Below are 18,462 nucleotides of genomic sequence, written 5' to 3'. Positions count from 1 at the left end.
TGGGGATCAGCTGTAACTCAGCTGAGTCTTGCATTTTAAGGAGATGGTTTGGGCCTATGGACTCCATCCCCCTTCCATCCTTACAAGTTCCTGTTGAATTATCTTACAGAAGAAGAAGGGAAATTCTGTAGCTGGGTTGGAACATATTGGTGTCACCATGGGTGCATGCTGCAGTGCCTGAAAAGATATGAAAAAGAACTGACAAGGACTCCCACCGACGGTGGCTGAAGGGACAAGGACTCTACTTATTGGAGGGGTGACAAAGCCATGTTGAGGAAGAGCATGGGGAGCAGAAGGCAGATTGCCAACATCCTTGGAGATGCCACTTGTCACAGCGTTATTGACTCATTAACCATTGCCTGCATTATTATTTCAATGAATCAACAAATTCAACTAAATGACATGGAGATATAATCTTTTATTATTCATCCATATATCAAAATAAAATTAATAGGGAGTATTTGGATGATTTTACATGAGAACACTTAATCAGAAGGTAGGCCTCCTGAGCCACGAACGTTAACAAGCACAAATGCAGATACTGGTGACTTGACTGGGTCTTCCATATGAGCTGGCTCAATGCTTTTACACCGTGGCTAGAGCAGTGCCTCAGGGTTCTTCAACTTTTGTCTGCGTCTAATTGCACCCAAAGAAAAGATTACGTATCTCAAAAATCTTGTAGCTCCATTGAGCTGATACAGTCTACCCTATTGACGGACAAGGAAACTGAGGCTCCCCTCCACGGGATCTGCTCCCTTAAAATTGAGCCCAGCCCAGGATCCAGCCTGGAATCCTCTGTAAAATTTCAGGCAGCCACCACAGTTTTGAAATTCCATTCATTTCTGTAATTTCTATTAGCCAGATCATTTTATGCTTGACCTTAGCCATACTTCACAATCTTTTGACTGGGTCTTCCAGATGAGCTGGAAGGTCCTACCTGTTCAATGGTCTCACACCATTCTGGATGATTGGATGTTATATCACACACTATACATAAAACTATTACAACATGACAGAATCATGCATTGCAGACCTGACATTCTTCTAACAGGACTTGATAAGAAAGGGAGGTTTTTGCATCTTTTGAGATTATTCTAGAAAGGAAAATGTAAAACAAACCAGCCTACAGATATGGCGTAGCCCCTCCATGTGGGTTAGCTTCTCGGAGGCCTACAATTTCTGCTAGAAGACTTGGTAAATGATTGTAAGGACTAGCAACAGCGGTGACACCTATTCATGAAGCCTATGAGCTTTGAAAGAAATAGTTAAAGCCTGAGGTTTTTATCTCCTGTTTAGCTTGCAGAAATGTCAGGTCAGGTACCATGTGAGACAAACACACCAAGGAGCGTCTAGGACCAGCCCGCAGCCCTGGCATTCCAGGTCTCGCATCTGGTATTCATTAGACAGTAATGTTATTAAGCTTCTAGTCACATAGGAGAAAAAGAACCATGTTCAGAAATGTGAAGGTATTTGAATGTCAACAACCAGGCTCTACCTCTAGGGACAAAGTTTTCTTGAAAGAAATGTTATTGCAGCAACAAATCTGTTTTTCTGGTGATTTCACCTCATTTCCACCGTGTTGTCATCAAGGTTCACTTTCACAAATGAAGTGGCCTATGCTCCCATTCTTCACGTGGGAAAGGCACTTTGCTGCTCGCTGTAAAGCCTGTCTGTATCTCTCACTACCCCAGCCCCAGGAGGCTGGAGCACGCCGTTCAGCAGGTCAGGCAGGTCCATGGGCTTGGCTGAGGTCACACAGCCAAGAAGTGGCAGAGCTGAGTCCCCGCCCAGCACACCCCCCTGGGAGGCCCCCTCCACAATCCCTGAGCACCCCATCCCTGCTATGGACTGAATTGTGTCCTCCCAAGATTCACGTGTTAAAGCCCTAAACCCCAGTGTGAAGGTGTCTTAGAGATGGAGTAATTAGGGAAGTAATTAAGGTCAAATGAGGTCCTAAAGGTGGGGTCCTTGGAACTGGTGTCCCTAGAGGAAGAGGAAGGAACCACAAGTCCACCCTGCTCCACACACACACACACACACACACACAGAGCAGAAAGGCTATGTGAGGACACAGAGAGAAGGCAGCTGTCTACACACCCAGAAGAGAATACTCACCAGAAACCACATTTGCTAGCACCTTGGTCATGCACTTCCAGCCTCCAGAACCGTGAGAAAATGAATGCCTGTTGTTTAACCCTTGGTCTGTGGTTCTTTGTTATGGCAGCCCCAGCTGATAAGACAGCCCAAAGCCATGGAGTGTGAGGGGAGGATCTTAGAGGGACGAAGGAAGGGTCCTCTTTAGAAAAGGGCCCAGGAAGCCAGGGCCTGAGGCCACATTCCAAGAAAGTGAGCAGACAATGGGTCCAGGCCACGAGTCCCACAGGGCCAAGGGACAAGGTTGTGCTGACCGTGTTGTGGGGTGCGTGCTGCGGCGCCTAAAAAGACATGAATAAGTGAAGACGGAGCCCCAAGTGCTCCCTGAGAGGGACTCTAGGATATGTTTAGGGAGGTGCAGTCAAGGTCAAAAGAGCAGACCTCACTCTTGCCAGGAAGGGGACTGCTGCGGGTCTGGGCTTTACACGGGACACTGTGCTAAGCCTGGCCAGGCACCACCCCAGAAGCCCAGGGATGGTCAGAGGCCATCTCCGAAGGGTGCAGACACAAAAGCAGAGCGGTGCCCCTTGTGTCAGGAAAGCCAGTCTCAGAAAAGGTGCCCTTGGTGCCAGGGCTGTTGGTCCTCCTTCTCCAGCCAGCGCAGGAAGCAGGGTCCAAGAGGAGTGTCTCCGCTCCACTGGCAGGAGGCAGATGGGGACGCCATCCAATGTCCATGATCAGGCTGAGGACCAGTGGATCTGGGGTGAGGCTGGAAGGTCCTACTTGTCAGGGCAAAGCAGGTTCATGCATTTATCAAACTTCTCCTGAGAACCGACTACATCAGACACTGGTTAAACCTGTGGGAGATCCCAGAGAGCACATGTTCAAGAGCACAGTGGAAGCCCTTAGGGGGAATGGGGTCTCACCGAAAAGGAGCAAGCCAACCAGTAACTGTACTGTGAGCAGGCATGTGGCAGAGAGGGAGGAGAGCACGTCTTCTCAGCAAAGGTAGTTGCAGAAAAGACTACAACGAAGTTTGAGCTTGTTCCTGAAAGTGAAGAGACATCCTTGAGGAATTGAAATCTAGATGTGAGATGTTCAAATCTGCCTTTGGGAAAAGCCACTCTGGTGGCATTGTGGAGGAGGGTGAATCTGGAGGGCACAGGGCCAGCAGGAAGGTGAACACAGTGAGCCCTAAACCAAGGTGGGCGTGAGACATGGACAAAAAACCATCTGTGAGCCCCTGGGGATGGGCTGGGCTAGCAGGACAGAGAGGGAGGAGGACTCCCAGGCCCCCAGGTTTCTGGCTTGGGTAACAGAGAATGATGGAGTCCGTTCACACGGTGGGAAGACAGGAGAACACGTGGGGGCAGCTGGAGAAAAGGTGGTTGGTGTGAGCAGGCCAGTTTGCCTGAGCTCCTGAGCGTTGCCATGAAGCCGTCCAGAGAGCAGATGGGAACAGGGAACAGGTCTCAGACAAGAGATCTGGACTGGACGCGCCAAGCAGGGAGCTGCCTGGCCCATGGAGGCCCAACACATGTTAAGGACACGTTATGGGCGGAATTGTGCCCCCACCCCCAAAATTCATATGCTGAAGCCTCAACCCCTAGTATCTCAGAATGTCGCTGAGTTTGGAGATAGGACCTTTGAAAAGGTAATAAGGGTAAATGAAGAAACAAGAGTGGGGCCTCCAACTACAAGACAAGGAGAGAGGCCTCAGGAGGAACCAAACCTCGAGCTGGGACTCCCAGCATCCAGAACTGGGAGAAATAAATTTCTTTGTTTTAAGCCATCGGTCTGTGGTGCTTTGCTCTGGCAGCCTGGGCTGGCTGATACAGAACCCTGACATTCTATAAGTTTCATCTTATAGTTTGACGAGGCTGTTGGGGGGGTCCCTAATCCAATCTGACTGGTGTCTTTATACAAAGAGGGGATTTGGACACACAGAGAGACACCAGGGATGTCTGCACACAGACCTTGTGAGGACACAGAAGAGAGAAGGCCATCTGCAAGCCACGGAAAAAGAGCTCAGAAGGAATTGAATCTGCCGACTCCTTGATCTTGCACATCCACCCTCCAGAACTGTGAGAAAAATCCATTTCCGCTATGTGAGCCGCCCCGGCCATGATACTCGGCTACAGCCGCCCTAGCAGAGGAATGCATCGCCGGAGGACAACCAAGGAAGTTGTGGGCGAGGACAAAAGGGAAATCAAAGGCTACAGAGAAGGATCCGCTGCTGGAGACCCAGGAGAGAGGTAGCCACGTCCATGGAGCACCAGGAATAGACACTTATGGTGAAGAGTACGTGATGTGGCCACTCATGAGCAAAAAGCAAGGGCTGTTTCCACAGAGGAACAGGGACAAAGCCAGGTTGTGTGGCTGGAAGGAGCGAACAGCAGTTCAGCCTGTGGACACAGCAAGAGCACATGGTGCCGCAGGAGGCGTGGACGAAGGACAGGAACGGGGGAGGCAGCAGTGCTGGTGGGGTCAAGGGACAAAGGATCCAGGGAAGATTTTTAGATGTTGTTTCGCTTTGCGTTTGGTAAAGAGCGTGTGTGTTATACGAGAAGCCTCAGCCCGCTGCTACAGAAGAGGGGAAGTAGCTCGTCTGTGGCTGGAATGCGTTGTCACCAACAAGATCCCAGCATAAAACAAAAGGCATACTCAGCTGAGATCGTGGAGAGAATTCAATGAGGGGGTGATGGAGAGAATGGTGGGCAGCCCTAGGGAAGCAGAAGGGGCCCTGAGATACCTAAGGACAATGTCATTAAACATCCAGGCCTGGGGGATGAGGGGGAAACGGAGACACCCACGTGTGGTGAGAATTGGAGCAGTGGAAGGGGAGGTGCCTCATGGAAGCTGTGCGGGGCGCTGGTGCTGCCTGCTGGAACCACAACACTGTGCAGGGAGGGCTGGAGAGAAATGGCCCGATGCTGTCTCATCTCACCTTCTGGTCTCCTGGGAAACTCCTGCAGGAATTCTAACCGAGGCTAAAGCACCAGAGCACAGCAAAGAGGGCAGGCCACAGGGTCATGCCACAGGGCACAGAACAGAGTGAATAACGCATTTGGGGGAGCTGTGGGTTGAATTGCGTCTTCCCTCAAAAAAAGCTGTGTTGAAGTCCTACTCTCCGCTACCCTAGAACGTGACCTTATTTGGAAATAGGACAGTTGCAGATGTAATTAGTTAAGATGAGGTCAAAGTGGAGGAAGATGGCCTCTCATCGGTGTGGCTGGTGTCCTTACAAGACGACATCCGCGCGTGGACAGACACAGCGTGAAGCCCTGTAAAGACGAGGGTCACAGTGATGCATCCTTGGCCAGCAAAGAAGTGCCAAGGATGACCAGTGACACCAGGCACCCAGAGAAAGGCCTGCAACAGATGCTCCCAGTGCCTCCAGCACGAGCACAGCTCTGCTGGCTCCTTGACCTTGGACTTCCAGCTTCTAGAACTTTGAGACAATCAATTTCTATTGTTTGAAAGTACCAGCTTGGGGCACTTTGTTACAACGGGAAATTAAGGAGAGGGGTGGGGTACACAGGCTGACCAGCATGTTTAGACAGAACAGGGGAGGACAAGGTGCCTGACTGGGTGGGAGTGGCAGGAGGGGAAGGCTTCCTGGGAAGAGAAGGGGAGATGAGTTTTGTGGTGGGGGTGCTGGAAGAAAGCCTAGGCGAGCCCGTCCTTCCTCCCTGCTTTCTCCAAGGTCATCTGCATTCAGAGGTAGGGTTTGAGCTAGCGGGTGGGGGCTGGAGGGGGAGCTTGAGGAGCCAGGGGAGAGCTGGGGACATCTGGCAGGGAAGGGAGGAGGTTTCTGAAGAAGGGTGCAGTCGCCAAGTGCCTAAGGGCTCTGCCCAGATGAAAATCCACCCGCTTGATTGGCACCAGTCTACACGTCATGTGATTTTTCTCCAGCCTGGAATCAGTGGGAGTGAGGAGCTGCTTGTGTAAACCCAGGGCTGGGGCTTCACAGCACCGTCCACTAGACCTTCTGCAAGGAAGGAAATGCGCCATCATCTGTGCTGCCCAACGGGACGGCCCTGGCCACACTTTAATCCTGGCTCGTGCAACTGGGAAACTGAATTTTTAAAAAGAATTTAAATTTAAATAACCACAGGAGGCGCTTGGCTACCATATTGGACACGGCATACAATACAGATGGCTAGGGAAAGTGAGGTCAGTGTGCGCCAGGGAGCACCTCAGGTAGCTGGGACCAGCAAGGCTGGAGGCAGGAAAACGTAAGGCTTATCCAGGCAAAGGAACAGTCTGAAGTCATTAGAAACTTAATGATGCAAGGGGGTAATTGGCCGCTTGCCTCGGAGTTGCTGGGTAACTAATGTCGTGGGCATTTTTAGGGGTGCAAGTGATGCTGAAGTGTGAGCTCTGCAGTGTGTGGCTATTTTCTAACCTGCCAGCTCTTTTCTCCATTGACAGAGGTCACAGCGCCCTCCAAGTACCTTGTGCTCCTATGAAGAGGGAGCAGCTTTCTGAAATTTTTAACACCTTTCCAGATGTGCTGAAGAGATCTGTCCTAGAGATGTTGCAGGCGTGATATTTTCATGGCATTTTAAAGTATCACTGGATCCGTCTTCCGACGTTTTAAAGAAATCCCTTAGGGGGGATAAGATGCCTGTTGACTAATTAAACTCAGTAACAAGCCATTTGCTCTCTCCTGGGGCTTACTAAGGTACGGATAGTCCATAAAGGAGTCCCTAAAGGAATTGCATGTCTGTAGAAAAATAGTCAGTCACACTTGCATCATCCACTAAATTCTTCGCTCATTTTATTGATGACAAATGAATTTTTGGAAACTTGGTAGTTTGCCTCCATGCCCATGAGGCTTCTTCTTATGAATTCTGGAGATCCATGGATGGGGAGCTGTGTTCCCCACACATGTGATAGAAAAGCAAGCTGGGATGTGCTTCCCCTGGGGTCCAGGCAGAGGTGCTCAGCCCAGACCCCCCAACTCTCAATTCAGTCCTCTCTGTGACACTATGCAATGTCATCTCTTGAACACCTTAGGCCAAGAACAAAACAAAAACATTTTAAACTCTTCAAAGTTCCATAAAATTTCCACCATCAGTATACATGCAGATGCAAGAATAAAGGCAAAAGGAATTGTCTTGTAAACAGCCACACAAAAGAATTCTAAGTATAGAGGAAAAACAAATGTTGGCATACCTGCATTTGTGCCAGCAATGGAAAGGCCCACACAAATTAGATCAAGTGGTAGACCATCCCTTTTAAGAAAGTACTAGAAACCCAGCCATGGGGTCTGAACTGTGGTTTACACCATGCAAGAGACTGCTCTGCCTTCCAATGCCAACCGCCAGTTGTTGTAAATCTCCAGCTGCCAGGAGACCAGGTGGCCTGCCATGTGTTTCTCAATAAAATTAACAGGATTCATAAAAACCTACCTTGTACAATATTCTTCTTGGATTAACCAAAAAATATGTGTTAACTCCTTGTTTAGGCTGGCTGTGGGCTCAGCCAGTGTCAGCTTGGGGCTGCCAGCCACAGGAGCCACGGAGTCTGGGCCCTACTGGTTCCACGCCCTCGTGGTTCCCTGTTCTCATGGTTCCACGCCCTGGTGGTTCCCTGCCCTCATGGTTCCACGCCCTGGTGGTTCCCTGCCCTCATGGTTCCCACGCCCTGGTGGTTCCCTGCCCTCATGGTTCCACGCCCTGGTGGTTCCCTGCCCTCATGGTTCCATGCCCTGGTGGTTCCCTGCTCTCATGGTTCTATGTCCTCACCATTCCAGCTCAGCAGCTATGTCATAGGGGAAACCCATCCAACTACCGATCTATAAATTTTTCATGTATAATCCCTTAGTGCTCTATTTTTTTCCATTTACTCAAACCTAATTGACAAAGTCATTCAGAGAAACTTTATTAAATATTGCCATTTCGGAAGTAAGAGCTTTTATTTTAAAGGAGTGGTTATGATGTCACTTGGGGATTTTGAAAAACAACTTTGTTTCAAAATCTACGAAGTTAGCCTTATCTCTTGAAGTCTGAGTGTTATCTTATCTCAGTAGAGTGAGTATTCCCAGATGATGCTTTCAGAGGGCAAAAAGCTGGTCAACCCATACACAGGTGACCAAAACAGCAATTCTCTCTAGCCAAACATCATGTGAGGTTTCTCTTACTAAAGCAACATCCAAAGCCCGCTTTGGCCCCTGCGGGTAAAAATCAATTACAACATCAGCATGAAGAGCGGGGTTTCATGATTAATGGAGTCATTCCATACAGAGTATTTAGTAGCATAGCTAAAGTCCTTCATGAGCTGTGAAGCTAGACAAACAAAAGTAGCTTTGGTTTGTGAGTTTTGTTCTTAGTGGGAAAATACCATTCAAAATAATATTTCATGTTTATCTCTTCTCCTGAAAGTTACATGCCAGGTACTGGAGGTGGAGGTGAGAGTTGGGAGAACCAGGCAGAGGCTGGATTGGAAGCTTTCCCATCGCCCATTGGAAGCAATGTCCTCATGACGCTTCACTCCTGGGACGTGGGAGGGTGCGCCGTGATGACACAGGTTTTGTTGTGATGACTGATACTGTTTACATATCTATCCACACTCAGCACTCACCACCACCACCTGCTCCTGCAGGTAATTAGAGAGGAGCCTCGCTTCCCCGGAGCTGTCACTTGTGTGTCTTGGCACGATTTATGTTTTTTCGTTTTCATTAAAGGAACCCACAGATAGTTGCTTTCAAAAACCCAGTCTGCCCTAAGGATAGACATGGTAAGTCTTGGCCAAATTTATGGGAGTTTCATGAACATGCATGAAACAATCAGCTGGGTCTGAATGAGTGAAGTATCTTTGTTACCACAAAGGGCACAGGACTCATTCATTCCTTCCTAAATTCAGGAAATGTGTGTGGGTCCTCCTGTGTCCTGGGCACTGCATGAGGACCCGAAGACGTAAGAGGAGGAGGACTCGGTCTGCCGTTTGTTGCTTCCACTGCCTTCCTCCATCTCCTTTTATGTGAAAAGTGTAGCAGAGGCTGGAGAACCCACAAATGAGATCCACATTCTTCCCTGTCCTGGCGTTGCCAAAGCAACTTGGTTCCCATCTCTTCTCGGCCATCCCCGAGGTTGCCGGACAAGCAGTGGACAAACTGGTGTCCAGGGACAGTCAGGTCAAAAAGTCGCTCAGGTGAGCATATGGAGTAGATTCTGATTCTGGTCCTAGAGGAATTCCACCTCCTTCAGGTAGCCCTCGGGGACTGATAAACCAAACTGGAACCCCGTCTCTTTGACATCATGCTATTCCAACAATCCTGAGTTAAGTGACTTTAGGGAACGGTGCGTGACCATCACTTACACAGGCCCGGGCTCAGACAGGGGGTTATGCAAGTTGTCAGTGCAGGTGGGGCTGTAAACTTGCTATTTATTTTCCCCACTTTTACAAATGTTTGGAAACACGTGAATTCCTCAAACAGTATGCATGTAACCACAGGGTGTGGTTTTAGAAACAAATGGCAGAGGACTATTAAAATAGAAAAGAACTTCACCTTTGGAATGTAAGAACAAAGACCTCTGAAAAATCTATATTAAAAGAGTGACAACCCGCATGTTCTCACCTATAAGTGGGAGCTGAACAATGAGAACACAGGGACATGGGGAGGGGAGCAACACACACTGGGGCCTGTCAGGGTGGGGAGTGAGGGGAGGGAGAACATCGGGATAAATAGCTAATGAATGCTGGGCTTACTACCTAAGTGATGAGGTGAGAGGTGCAGCAAACCACCATGGCACACGTTTACCTATGTAACAAACCTGCACATCCTGCACATGTACCCCGGCACTTAAAAATAAAAATTAATTAAGGAAATAAAAAAAATAAAAATTGAAGAGTAGCGACACAGAAAGGATTCTTTAAGATAACCAAGAAGACTACAATGCAATGTGCTGTCTGGATAAAGTTAAATCTGCCACATTTGCCAATGGTGAAATTGAGCTTATCAGTTGGCTCATTTGATAACCATTCTCCCAGCCCCTCTGGTATGTAGGCGCCTGTGAGGGGCACCAGGCATTCACCTGTGTGTCAAAAGCTTTCTCACGCACGTTCTCAATCCTCTTTTCACCATAATGTCAAACAATAGAGCAAGGCTAAAAACGAAAAAGGCAGACCAGCAAGGAGCCCAGGGTAACCAGAGCTAATGGGACAAGTACACCATGCACAGCAGTGTAGAAGGGGTTTATAGGACCATCTCCATGAATTTGCAGAGCACCCTTGGAGACAGATACTTGTATGGGGTCCACGTTCTAGCAGAGAGAATCAAGTCTCTGTCTGAGAAGCCGAGTCACTTGTGCAGAGCAAGAATTTTAATCTAGGTATGTCTGGTTCCCAAACCCTGTCACCATCTCTGCACCAGAATGTGCCAGAGAGAGAAGCAGGCTGCAGTTGGCAGGCAGAGGAGCCAGCTTCCTGGGGCCGGCAGTCCTTGCTTCCAAAACCAGTCTGTACCCTGGGAAGTCCATTCCAGGGAAGTCCAGAATGAGAGTCTGGGCTTAGCAAGATCCTGGCAGTGCAGATCCAAGATGGTGGGATCCACTGAGGATGGGTCCAGGGGTTCACCCCGCAGCCAGGGACATCCGAGAAACAGTTCCCAAAATGGAATGACACACACTTCATCGGTAGCTCAAAGCCAGAACGGACCCCAGTGGTCCTTATCTTCTCAGGCTGGGCAGTTTCTTGGAACTGAATTAAAACCCAAATGGGTCCCCTCTGTCTGTATGTTTCCTAACTAAGGGAGGGGTTAACAAAAACAGCCATCATCTCCCTGCATCCATTCAATTGCTTATTAGGTGCAAGAGCCTCTGTTAATCCTACTGTGTTGAAAGGGATAGGCCCTGTGCTAGAACCTGGAGATACAGGGGTACTGAAGGTACCTCCTCAAGGAGCACTTTTCCTGGAATATGATGCAATGAGACACTAACCATAGAGAACCTAACAAAACACTGCTGAGTATGCAAATAGATAGGCATTAGCTAGATCAAGTGACTGAAAGTAGGCGCTAAATATAAGAGAAGAACTTATTACAGAAATGACCGTCTTTTACAGCAAAGCAATGCTTTGAGATTACAACTACAGCAGGAAGCTTGGCCTCCCCAGTAAAGGATCTTCACAAAGTCCCTCTGGCCTCTCCTAAAAACAGTACCTCATTTCAGATATTTCAGGATTTAACACCAAAAACGAGCCACATGGTTTGGTTTTTCCAGCCTTTCTAGAAGACTGTCTTTATCCCAGGGATCCAGCTTCTAAGAACAACTTTCTACCCATAAGGCAATCCATACTATTTTTATGCACTGTCAGGAAAAAATAATGAATTGTCAGTTTAACAATCTTATGGTAATCTTTTAAGACCAAATCTAGCTATCAGAAAGAAAGGAGGGGAAAAGTGAGCCTCAAAGTTGAAAAGCTGGTGTAATTTGCTTGATGTTAAACCTACCTTCTCATCTTCCCTTCATTTTGACTGGAACACCAAAGGTTCTATTTTCTACTTTCAGATATCACTCCTGGCATGCAATCTTATTTGGCCTTTGGATGACTTCAGGCTTTGGAGAATTCTGTAAAACAAATCTATATTTCATCAGGTGTATCTGCTCTTGAAACCAACAACTCAATGACTGATGCCCAAACTATAACTTGAAAAAGGGGGAAGAAAGAAGAAAATTCTTTTGTAAATTGGATTTGGAGTTCTGGCAGGGCTATGTTTTACTCTTGGCAGCTGGGCTGACTGTCTCAGAATATCCACTGGTTTCCTGATGTGGAGTCTGCATAGGCGAATTTCTTTATCTGGAGTCACCCCGGATGGTGGCAGTGACTTCAAAACCAGCCAGTCCGAGGTCCACATAAGGGACTTCCAATCAGCTGTGTCCAGTGGGCCAGTCTGGTGGCATTCCTGGAGCTTCAAAATACCCAGAGCTCAAGCCAAGACTGCCAGGAGCGCCTGCTTTTGTACCAAGAACATAGTCACCTTTTCATTTTTTTTTCTTTTCACTTTGTGGTCTGATACTACTTTATAAGTAAAAGCCCATAGAGATAATTATTTTTCTTTCACAGAAAAAAGAAAAGAAAATCCATATACTATTCGCTAGCTCAGTTTTCAGGGCACTGAGCAGGAAATGATCTGACATCGTGAGAGGACCGATTCCAAGGATGTCTCCTGATAAGATGAGGGTTGGTGGACTCTAGCTCTCTCTCTGTAATAATTTTGGAATGTATCTATTGACGATGGAGTGTGAGACAATTGTTTAATCAGTTTAAATCGATCATGTTCCAGCTTTCACAGTGTTTGTTATCACTGCATTAACTCTAAAGGCAGCACAAGGCAACGCAAAGAGCTTAGGGCTTAGAAGCTCTGACTTTTGCTCATTCATTCATTGATTCATTCAACAACTATGCCTTGAGTACTTGGCAAAGAGTCGGCGAGCTGCTGAAAACTGGGTGTACAGGGACAATCTGGTTCCCAGTTCAGGCTCACTCTAGTTGGAGAGAGGTGTGGTAAAAGAAGGCAAGTCAAAGTGCTACAGAGCCCAGAGAGACAAATAACTTCTAAGCATCTGCTGGTAAGAATTACCCTACCTTGAGTGCACAAGGTTACCAGGCACTATGCCATACGCTTTACCCACGCTATCTGATTTAATCCTCAAAGCCAGCCCGTGAAGAAGATACGCGACTATCCCCAAATTATTTTAGATGTGGAAACCAAAGCTCCGAGGTATTAAAATAACTTTTTCAAACTCACACAGAGGGGGAGTCAGAACTAAAACCCAGGTGGACTTGAACCCAAAACTCAATTTCTTTACCATCTTTTTGCACGTTATTTGTTTATCTTAAGACCTCCAAGACCAGCCCTTTCTCTCTGCCTCCTGCAGGTACCTTGGTAGTGGAGTGGGCAGGTAAAAAATAATGCACATATGCAAAGCATTCTTAGGAAACTCCTGAGTCTTCCATACAAGGAAATGCTCAGTGAACTAAGAAAGATTTTGAGACCTTTTAACAACCTTGTAACTTAACTTGAAGATGAGATATGGTTACTTAAAGGTAACTTATTCAACTGATTTTCAGATTCTTTTCTGTAGCCAAGCTTAACCGCTGCAAGATTCCTAAGACCTTAGGATGCCAACCTGGCTCACCTCCTGGGCATTTACGGCAGGGTCTGCCTCTCCAGGGTGTTTGTTAGGAACCGTCTTTCTAAGAAGCTGTTGACAGCCACTCATTGTAATGAGGCTCCACAAGTGTTGGACATCTTCATTTTTTGCAGGTCCCTCTGTCCTACATAATGGCGTCATCACATGAGATTGGAGGCAGCTGAGCTCCACAGTTCACACGGAATTTCCTCCTGCTCTGGCTCTCCTTAGTGGAGCCAGTTGTACAGGCCTAATTGCCTCTCCATTACAAAAAGGTACCTTGCGGATCAGTTGTAATCCATAACCTCAGGCTCTTCCTAGAGTGGTTTTAAATTGGTTCACACACATCTCATATGTCTCCTATGACTTAATTTTTCCATGTTATGTTGAACACATTTTTTGGGATGGGTGGACATGCATTATAATAATTTGCCTGGATGCCACCCAAGCCAGGGATAAATACACATTCACAGAAGAAACCATATCCTCCCCCTCTCCCCCCACAAAAGACTTACTTATTTAACAGTACAGGTAGGTGCCTCTGGAGCAAATGTTTTCCGTTGCACTCAATGCAAGGCACTGTCGTCATGCGACTTTCCCTACAGCCATCTCTTACAACCCTTGAAAGGCATGCTCCATCAGGGTCTCTCTTAAGATCATGTTTCCCAAGATGTTCACCCACAGGGTAGGCCTAAGATGGATTTGCACCATTACTGACCTCTCTATTTGGTTTGCCTCTGGGAAGCTCAGACTTAAGAAAAACCAAACTCAACTCTTAGACTCTGTGGAACCTGAGTCCTCATTCTAACCTGAATGATAATCAGAGTCACCTGGAAAATTTTAAAGAGCACGCATTGTGGGGCCTACCCCAGAGCTCCTACACCAAACGCTCCACGGGTAGACCCTGAGGGATCTCTTTTGTTTCAAAACCTTCTCAGTTGGGTCTCCTTGCTGCCTTGGAGACCCTGCCATGTTCAATATTAGCACAACAGGCTAAACGAGCTCTGCGGGCCAGTTGGAATGTTCTACAATGAAAGGGCTCCATGGTCAAGGACGCTGAAAGGCTTTATTCCAGGACTCCTCAGAGGTTGAGATGTGCCCAGGATGCATTGGGAATTTCCCACAATGCAATGCAGCATTTCTTACACATATTTGTCTACAAAGCACTCTTTCTCAGGGAGTACTGCTAGAAGTTTAACTCAGCGGAAACCCCTTACCCCAAGAACAATCCTAACACTATCCCCTGCAGACTGCAAGCAAGTCACCTGCCCGTGCTGCATCTGTTTTTTCTCTATAAAATAACGTTGACCTGCACCTGTTACTGGCTAGGTGTGTTATGCCTGTGCACAGCAGGCCAATCACTCTGGTGATGGGTTTTGCAAAAGAGAAAAGATTTTATTCACAAGGCTACCATGCGAGGAGATGGGAGAACAAATCTCAAATCTGCCTCCAGGAAAATAGAGCTTAGGGATATTTACAGGATAGAAAGCAGGTGGTCTAAAGTGTGGGGAAAGGTGGCTGGCAGGTAGGAAAAGTGAGGTAATTTGGGCATCTGCACAAGTGGAAATGAGCCACGTGGCTCTTCACATGAGATGTGCAGAAAATGGCCACAGGCCCATAATCAGAGGGTGGAGTTCTTGGCCCTCTGATATCAAAAGGTCACTCTTCCAGCACCCCCGCAGGTGGGCTGGTGGGTTCAAATGGCTTGAACTGGACAAGAGCTGCCCCCTAGTTCCTGAAAAGCAATTTTAAACACCTGTTACTGGTCCGGGTGTGGTGGCTCATGCCTGTAATCCCAGCACTTTGGGAGGCCAAGCCAGGTGGATTACCTGAGGTCGGGAGTTCAAGACCACCGTGGTCAACATGGCAAAATCCCGTCTCTACTAAAATTACAAAAATTAGTCGAGCATGGTGGCATGCACTTGTAATCCCCGCTACTCAGGAGGCTGAGGGAGGAGAATCACTTGAACCCGGGATACGGAGTTTGCAGTGAGCCGAGATCGCATCAGAGATGCTGTGCCCGCTTTCAGCGTCAGAGCCAGGACATCAGGACACAGCAGCACTCCACACATCACTGGCAAAAGTGTAGCAGTTAGCCTTGCAACTCAACAGTGTGCTACCTCCAAAACGTTGAGTGCCAACCACTTGACACGTGTGTGCACATGCACATGCAAACACACACACACACAAACATGCTAAGCACACACATACATATACACACCACACACACAATACACACACCCCTACACAACACACTGCACACACATACATATACACACCACACACACAATACACACACCTCTACACAACACACTGCACACACATACACACCACACACAATACACACACCCACCACACCACACTGCACACACACATACATATACACACAACACAATACACACACACATAAATAACACAAACACAATACATACACCCACCACAACACACTGCACACACACACATACATATACACTCTGCACACACAATACACCCACACACAACACACTACACACACATACACACCACACAATACACACACCCACCACAACACACTGCACATACACACATACATATACACATCACACACACAATACACACACCCACACACAACACACTGCACACACATATACACAACACACACAACACAATGCACACACCCGCACACAACACACTGTACACACACATATATATGCAGACCACACACACAACACAATACACACACCCACAACACACTGCACACACACACATATACACACTACACACACAATACACACACCCAACACAGCAGGCTGCATACACACATATACACACCACACACACAACACAAAACACACACCCACCACAACACACTATACACACACACATATATCTACACACCACACACAATACACACACCCATCACAACATACTGCACACACACAACACACATATACACACCACATACGCAAAATACATATGCTCATCACAACACACTGCACACACACACACATATACATGCCACACACAATACACACACTCCATACACACATATATACACATACGCTCATATGCACACACCCCACACACAGCACAACACACACACTATAGACAGACACCCGATTCACACACCTATACACACACCACACACACAACACAAAATACACACACTATGGACTCACACCCCATACACACACATATACATACACCCCACACACAACACACCACGTACACACAACACAACACACACACGCACATATACACACTCCACATGCAACACAACATACAACACACCACACACACACATATACACCCATAAAATCACCCAAAATGTCAAGCTGTCCTCTCTGGAGGCTGGGTCATTTTTGCCATTCCGTAGTTGTTATTGCTAAAGGAAGTGCTTCCTTATCCTTTCTCGCTTTCGCCACTGTGGGTCAGAAACATGATCTTTATGTTTAATGATGTCACGTGTGCACTACTGGCCACACTCTGGGGTGTTGACTGAGGCTTAACAGCTCGCTTCACAAAGCCGACAAAGCATGAGAGGAGTGTTGACCTTGTGCCGGCTGGTAGGGCAGGGGCACACTGAAGCCATCAGTGCTGCACTTTCGGGAGAACTACTCCAGCCTTCGTGTGAAGGGTGACTTGGATGGACAAGACGAGGTCAGAGACAAACTGACGAGGAGACACGAGAGAGACAGGATGAAGGCGGCAGCCCCGGTGGTCAATGACAGGGAGGACTGGCCTGCGTGGAGAAGGTGAACCCATAAGGAAATTGCTCCAGCTTCCTGGTAAACACAGACCGACTGCATTGCTTATCTCCCATCACCCCTCAGTCGGGGTCCACTCAGGAGATGCCCATTTGAACAAGGAAAGTTTCATACTCAGAATATGACCCATAACAGCAAATAACTGGCTTTCTTTTCCAAAACCTCATGATCGTGGCAGCAGAGAAAATAACAATCAACAACTAGAAACAACACGTACAGAGACGTGTGTGTGTGTATTTGCCTTTTCCTCTCACCTTTTGCTTTCTGTCATCTTCCAAAACCATAATGAAAGAAGGCCAGAGAGGGAGAAACCAGCAAGAAACAAACCTATTTGTGCCACGAAACCCAAGATGTAAACACCTACCAACACCCCACTGGGTGAGATTAAAAGCATTATGATCTCAAAAACCCTGGTCGGATATAAGACCCTATATCTCATCCTCACTTCAAACAGTCAGAAGCTCGCCCCACCTGCCTGGGCAGAAGACCTAAGTTCACCCCATGAGGAAAGCAGACCGGAGGCTCTGGGCTTCGGGACACCAGGCACCGGCGATGGGGGGCACACGGCAAAGCCTAAAAATAGGGCAACTATGTGAAGGATACACGCTGGATGCTGCGGCTCCTCCATGCCCCTCCCAGGCCCCTTCTCAGGTTGATACTTCCAGGGACATTGAACAATTTTTCTCCGGAAAAATAGGCCAGCCCGAGAAGAAGGCCCCTCAACCACTAACATCCAGGGAGACCACAGGGGGACATCTGGAGACCTCAGTGAAATTCACTGGTCACCAAGCCCAGCTCAGCACAGAGCTTCCAGCCGGGCTTCTAGTCCTCATCGTAAAATGTGACTCCATCGCCAAAGATCAGTAGCTATTTGAGAAAAGCCCTAATGTGAAACACAGAAAACAGAAGAAGGAAACAGGAAAAGAGAGGAAGAGGGAAAGCTTGGGTGGCCCAGCGTGAAGCAAGGCCCTGCGTGGAAGGAGGCAGGGCTGACAGTGTGCATACCTGTGTGTAGGGCTAACAGCGCACATGCCTATGTGTAGGGCTGACAGTGTGCACATCTGTGTGTAGGGCTAACAGTGTGTACACCTGTGTGTAGAGTAGGGCTGACAGTGCACACATCTGTGTGTAGTTCTGACAGTGCTCACACCTACATATAGGGTTAACAGCGTGCACTCCTATATGTAGGGCTGACAGTGCACACACCTGTGTGTAGGTCTGACAGTGCCCACACCTATGTGTCCACCTGTTAGTGGACAGAAATGTCCCTGGAGTGGGTTGAATAGTGTCCCCCAAAACAATATGTCCCCTGGAACCTGTGGATGGGGCCTTCACTGGAAAGACTCTTTGCAGATGTAATTAACTCAAATATCTCGAGATGAGACTATCCTGGAATTAGGATGGGCCCTAAATCCAATGACAAGTGCTCTTAGATGAGAAGGGGAGGCAAAATGAGACAGAGGAGGAGGCTGAGTGAAGAC

The 18,462-nt window shown here is 47.7% G+C and overlaps 3 long non-coding RNA genes across 5 annotated transcripts, besides 1 other annotated feature; 1 reads left to right on the top strand and 2 right to left on the bottom strand.

The window, feature by feature from the left end:
- Positions 1 to 402: 402 nt before the first annotated feature.
- Positions 403 to 5,566, bottom strand: LOC105373947 (uncharacterized). Of its 2 annotated transcripts, XR_924021.2 has the most exons (4): positions 5,042 to 5,566; positions 3,021 to 3,142; positions 2,116 to 2,435; positions 403 to 636 (listed from the first exon to the last, which is right to left on the bottom strand). It is a non-coding gene; the product is annotated as an uncharacterized LOC105373947 (long non-coding RNA). The 2 variants fall into 2 exon arrangements; XR_924020.2 differs by having other exon boundaries at positions 2,116 to 3,142.
- A 76-nt stretch (positions 5,567 to 5,642) lies between these two features.
- Positions 5,643 to 6,756, top strand: LOC105373946 (uncharacterized). The gene is made up of 3 exons (XR_924019.2): positions 5,643 to 5,817; positions 6,010 to 6,270; positions 6,529 to 6,756. It is a non-coding gene; the product is annotated as an uncharacterized LOC105373946 (long non-coding RNA).
- A 99-nt stretch (positions 6,757 to 6,855) lies between these two features.
- LOC107986001 (uncharacterized) lies at positions 6,856 to 16,590 on the bottom strand. Of its 2 annotated transcripts, none has more exons than XR_001739951.2 (3): positions 16,537 to 16,590; positions 11,552 to 11,669; positions 6,856 to 7,111 (listed from the first exon to the last, which is right to left on the bottom strand). It is a non-coding gene; the product is annotated as an uncharacterized LOC107986001 (long non-coding RNA). The 2 variants fall into 2 exon arrangements; XR_001739950.2 differs by lacking the exon at positions 16,537 to 16,590 and adding an exon at positions 15,065 to 15,111.
- Positions 8,586 to 9,086: an enhancer, noted in NCBI's record as "H3K4me1 hESC enhancer chr2:237509317-237509817 (GRCh37/hg19 assembly coordinates)". NCBI's record gives its function as "activates a minimal SCP1, AML or CMV promoter by ChIP-STARR-seq in primed H9 embryonic stem cells {active_cell/tissue: H9 hESC(primed)}" and the evidence as "EXISTENCE:reporter gene assay evidence [ECO:0000049][PMID:30033119]".
- Positions 16,591 to 18,462: the final 1,872 nt, after the last annotated feature.

This window comes from Homo sapiens, chromosome 2 (genome assembly GCF_000001405.40).
Source record: "Homo sapiens chromosome 2, GRCh38.p14 Primary Assembly".
Taxonomy (NCBI): Eukaryota; Metazoa; Chordata; class Mammalia; order Primates; family Hominidae; genus Homo; species Homo sapiens.
The sequence above is the reverse complement of the archived record's forward strand: the minus strand, read 5'-3'. Positions and strand labels throughout refer to the sequence as shown.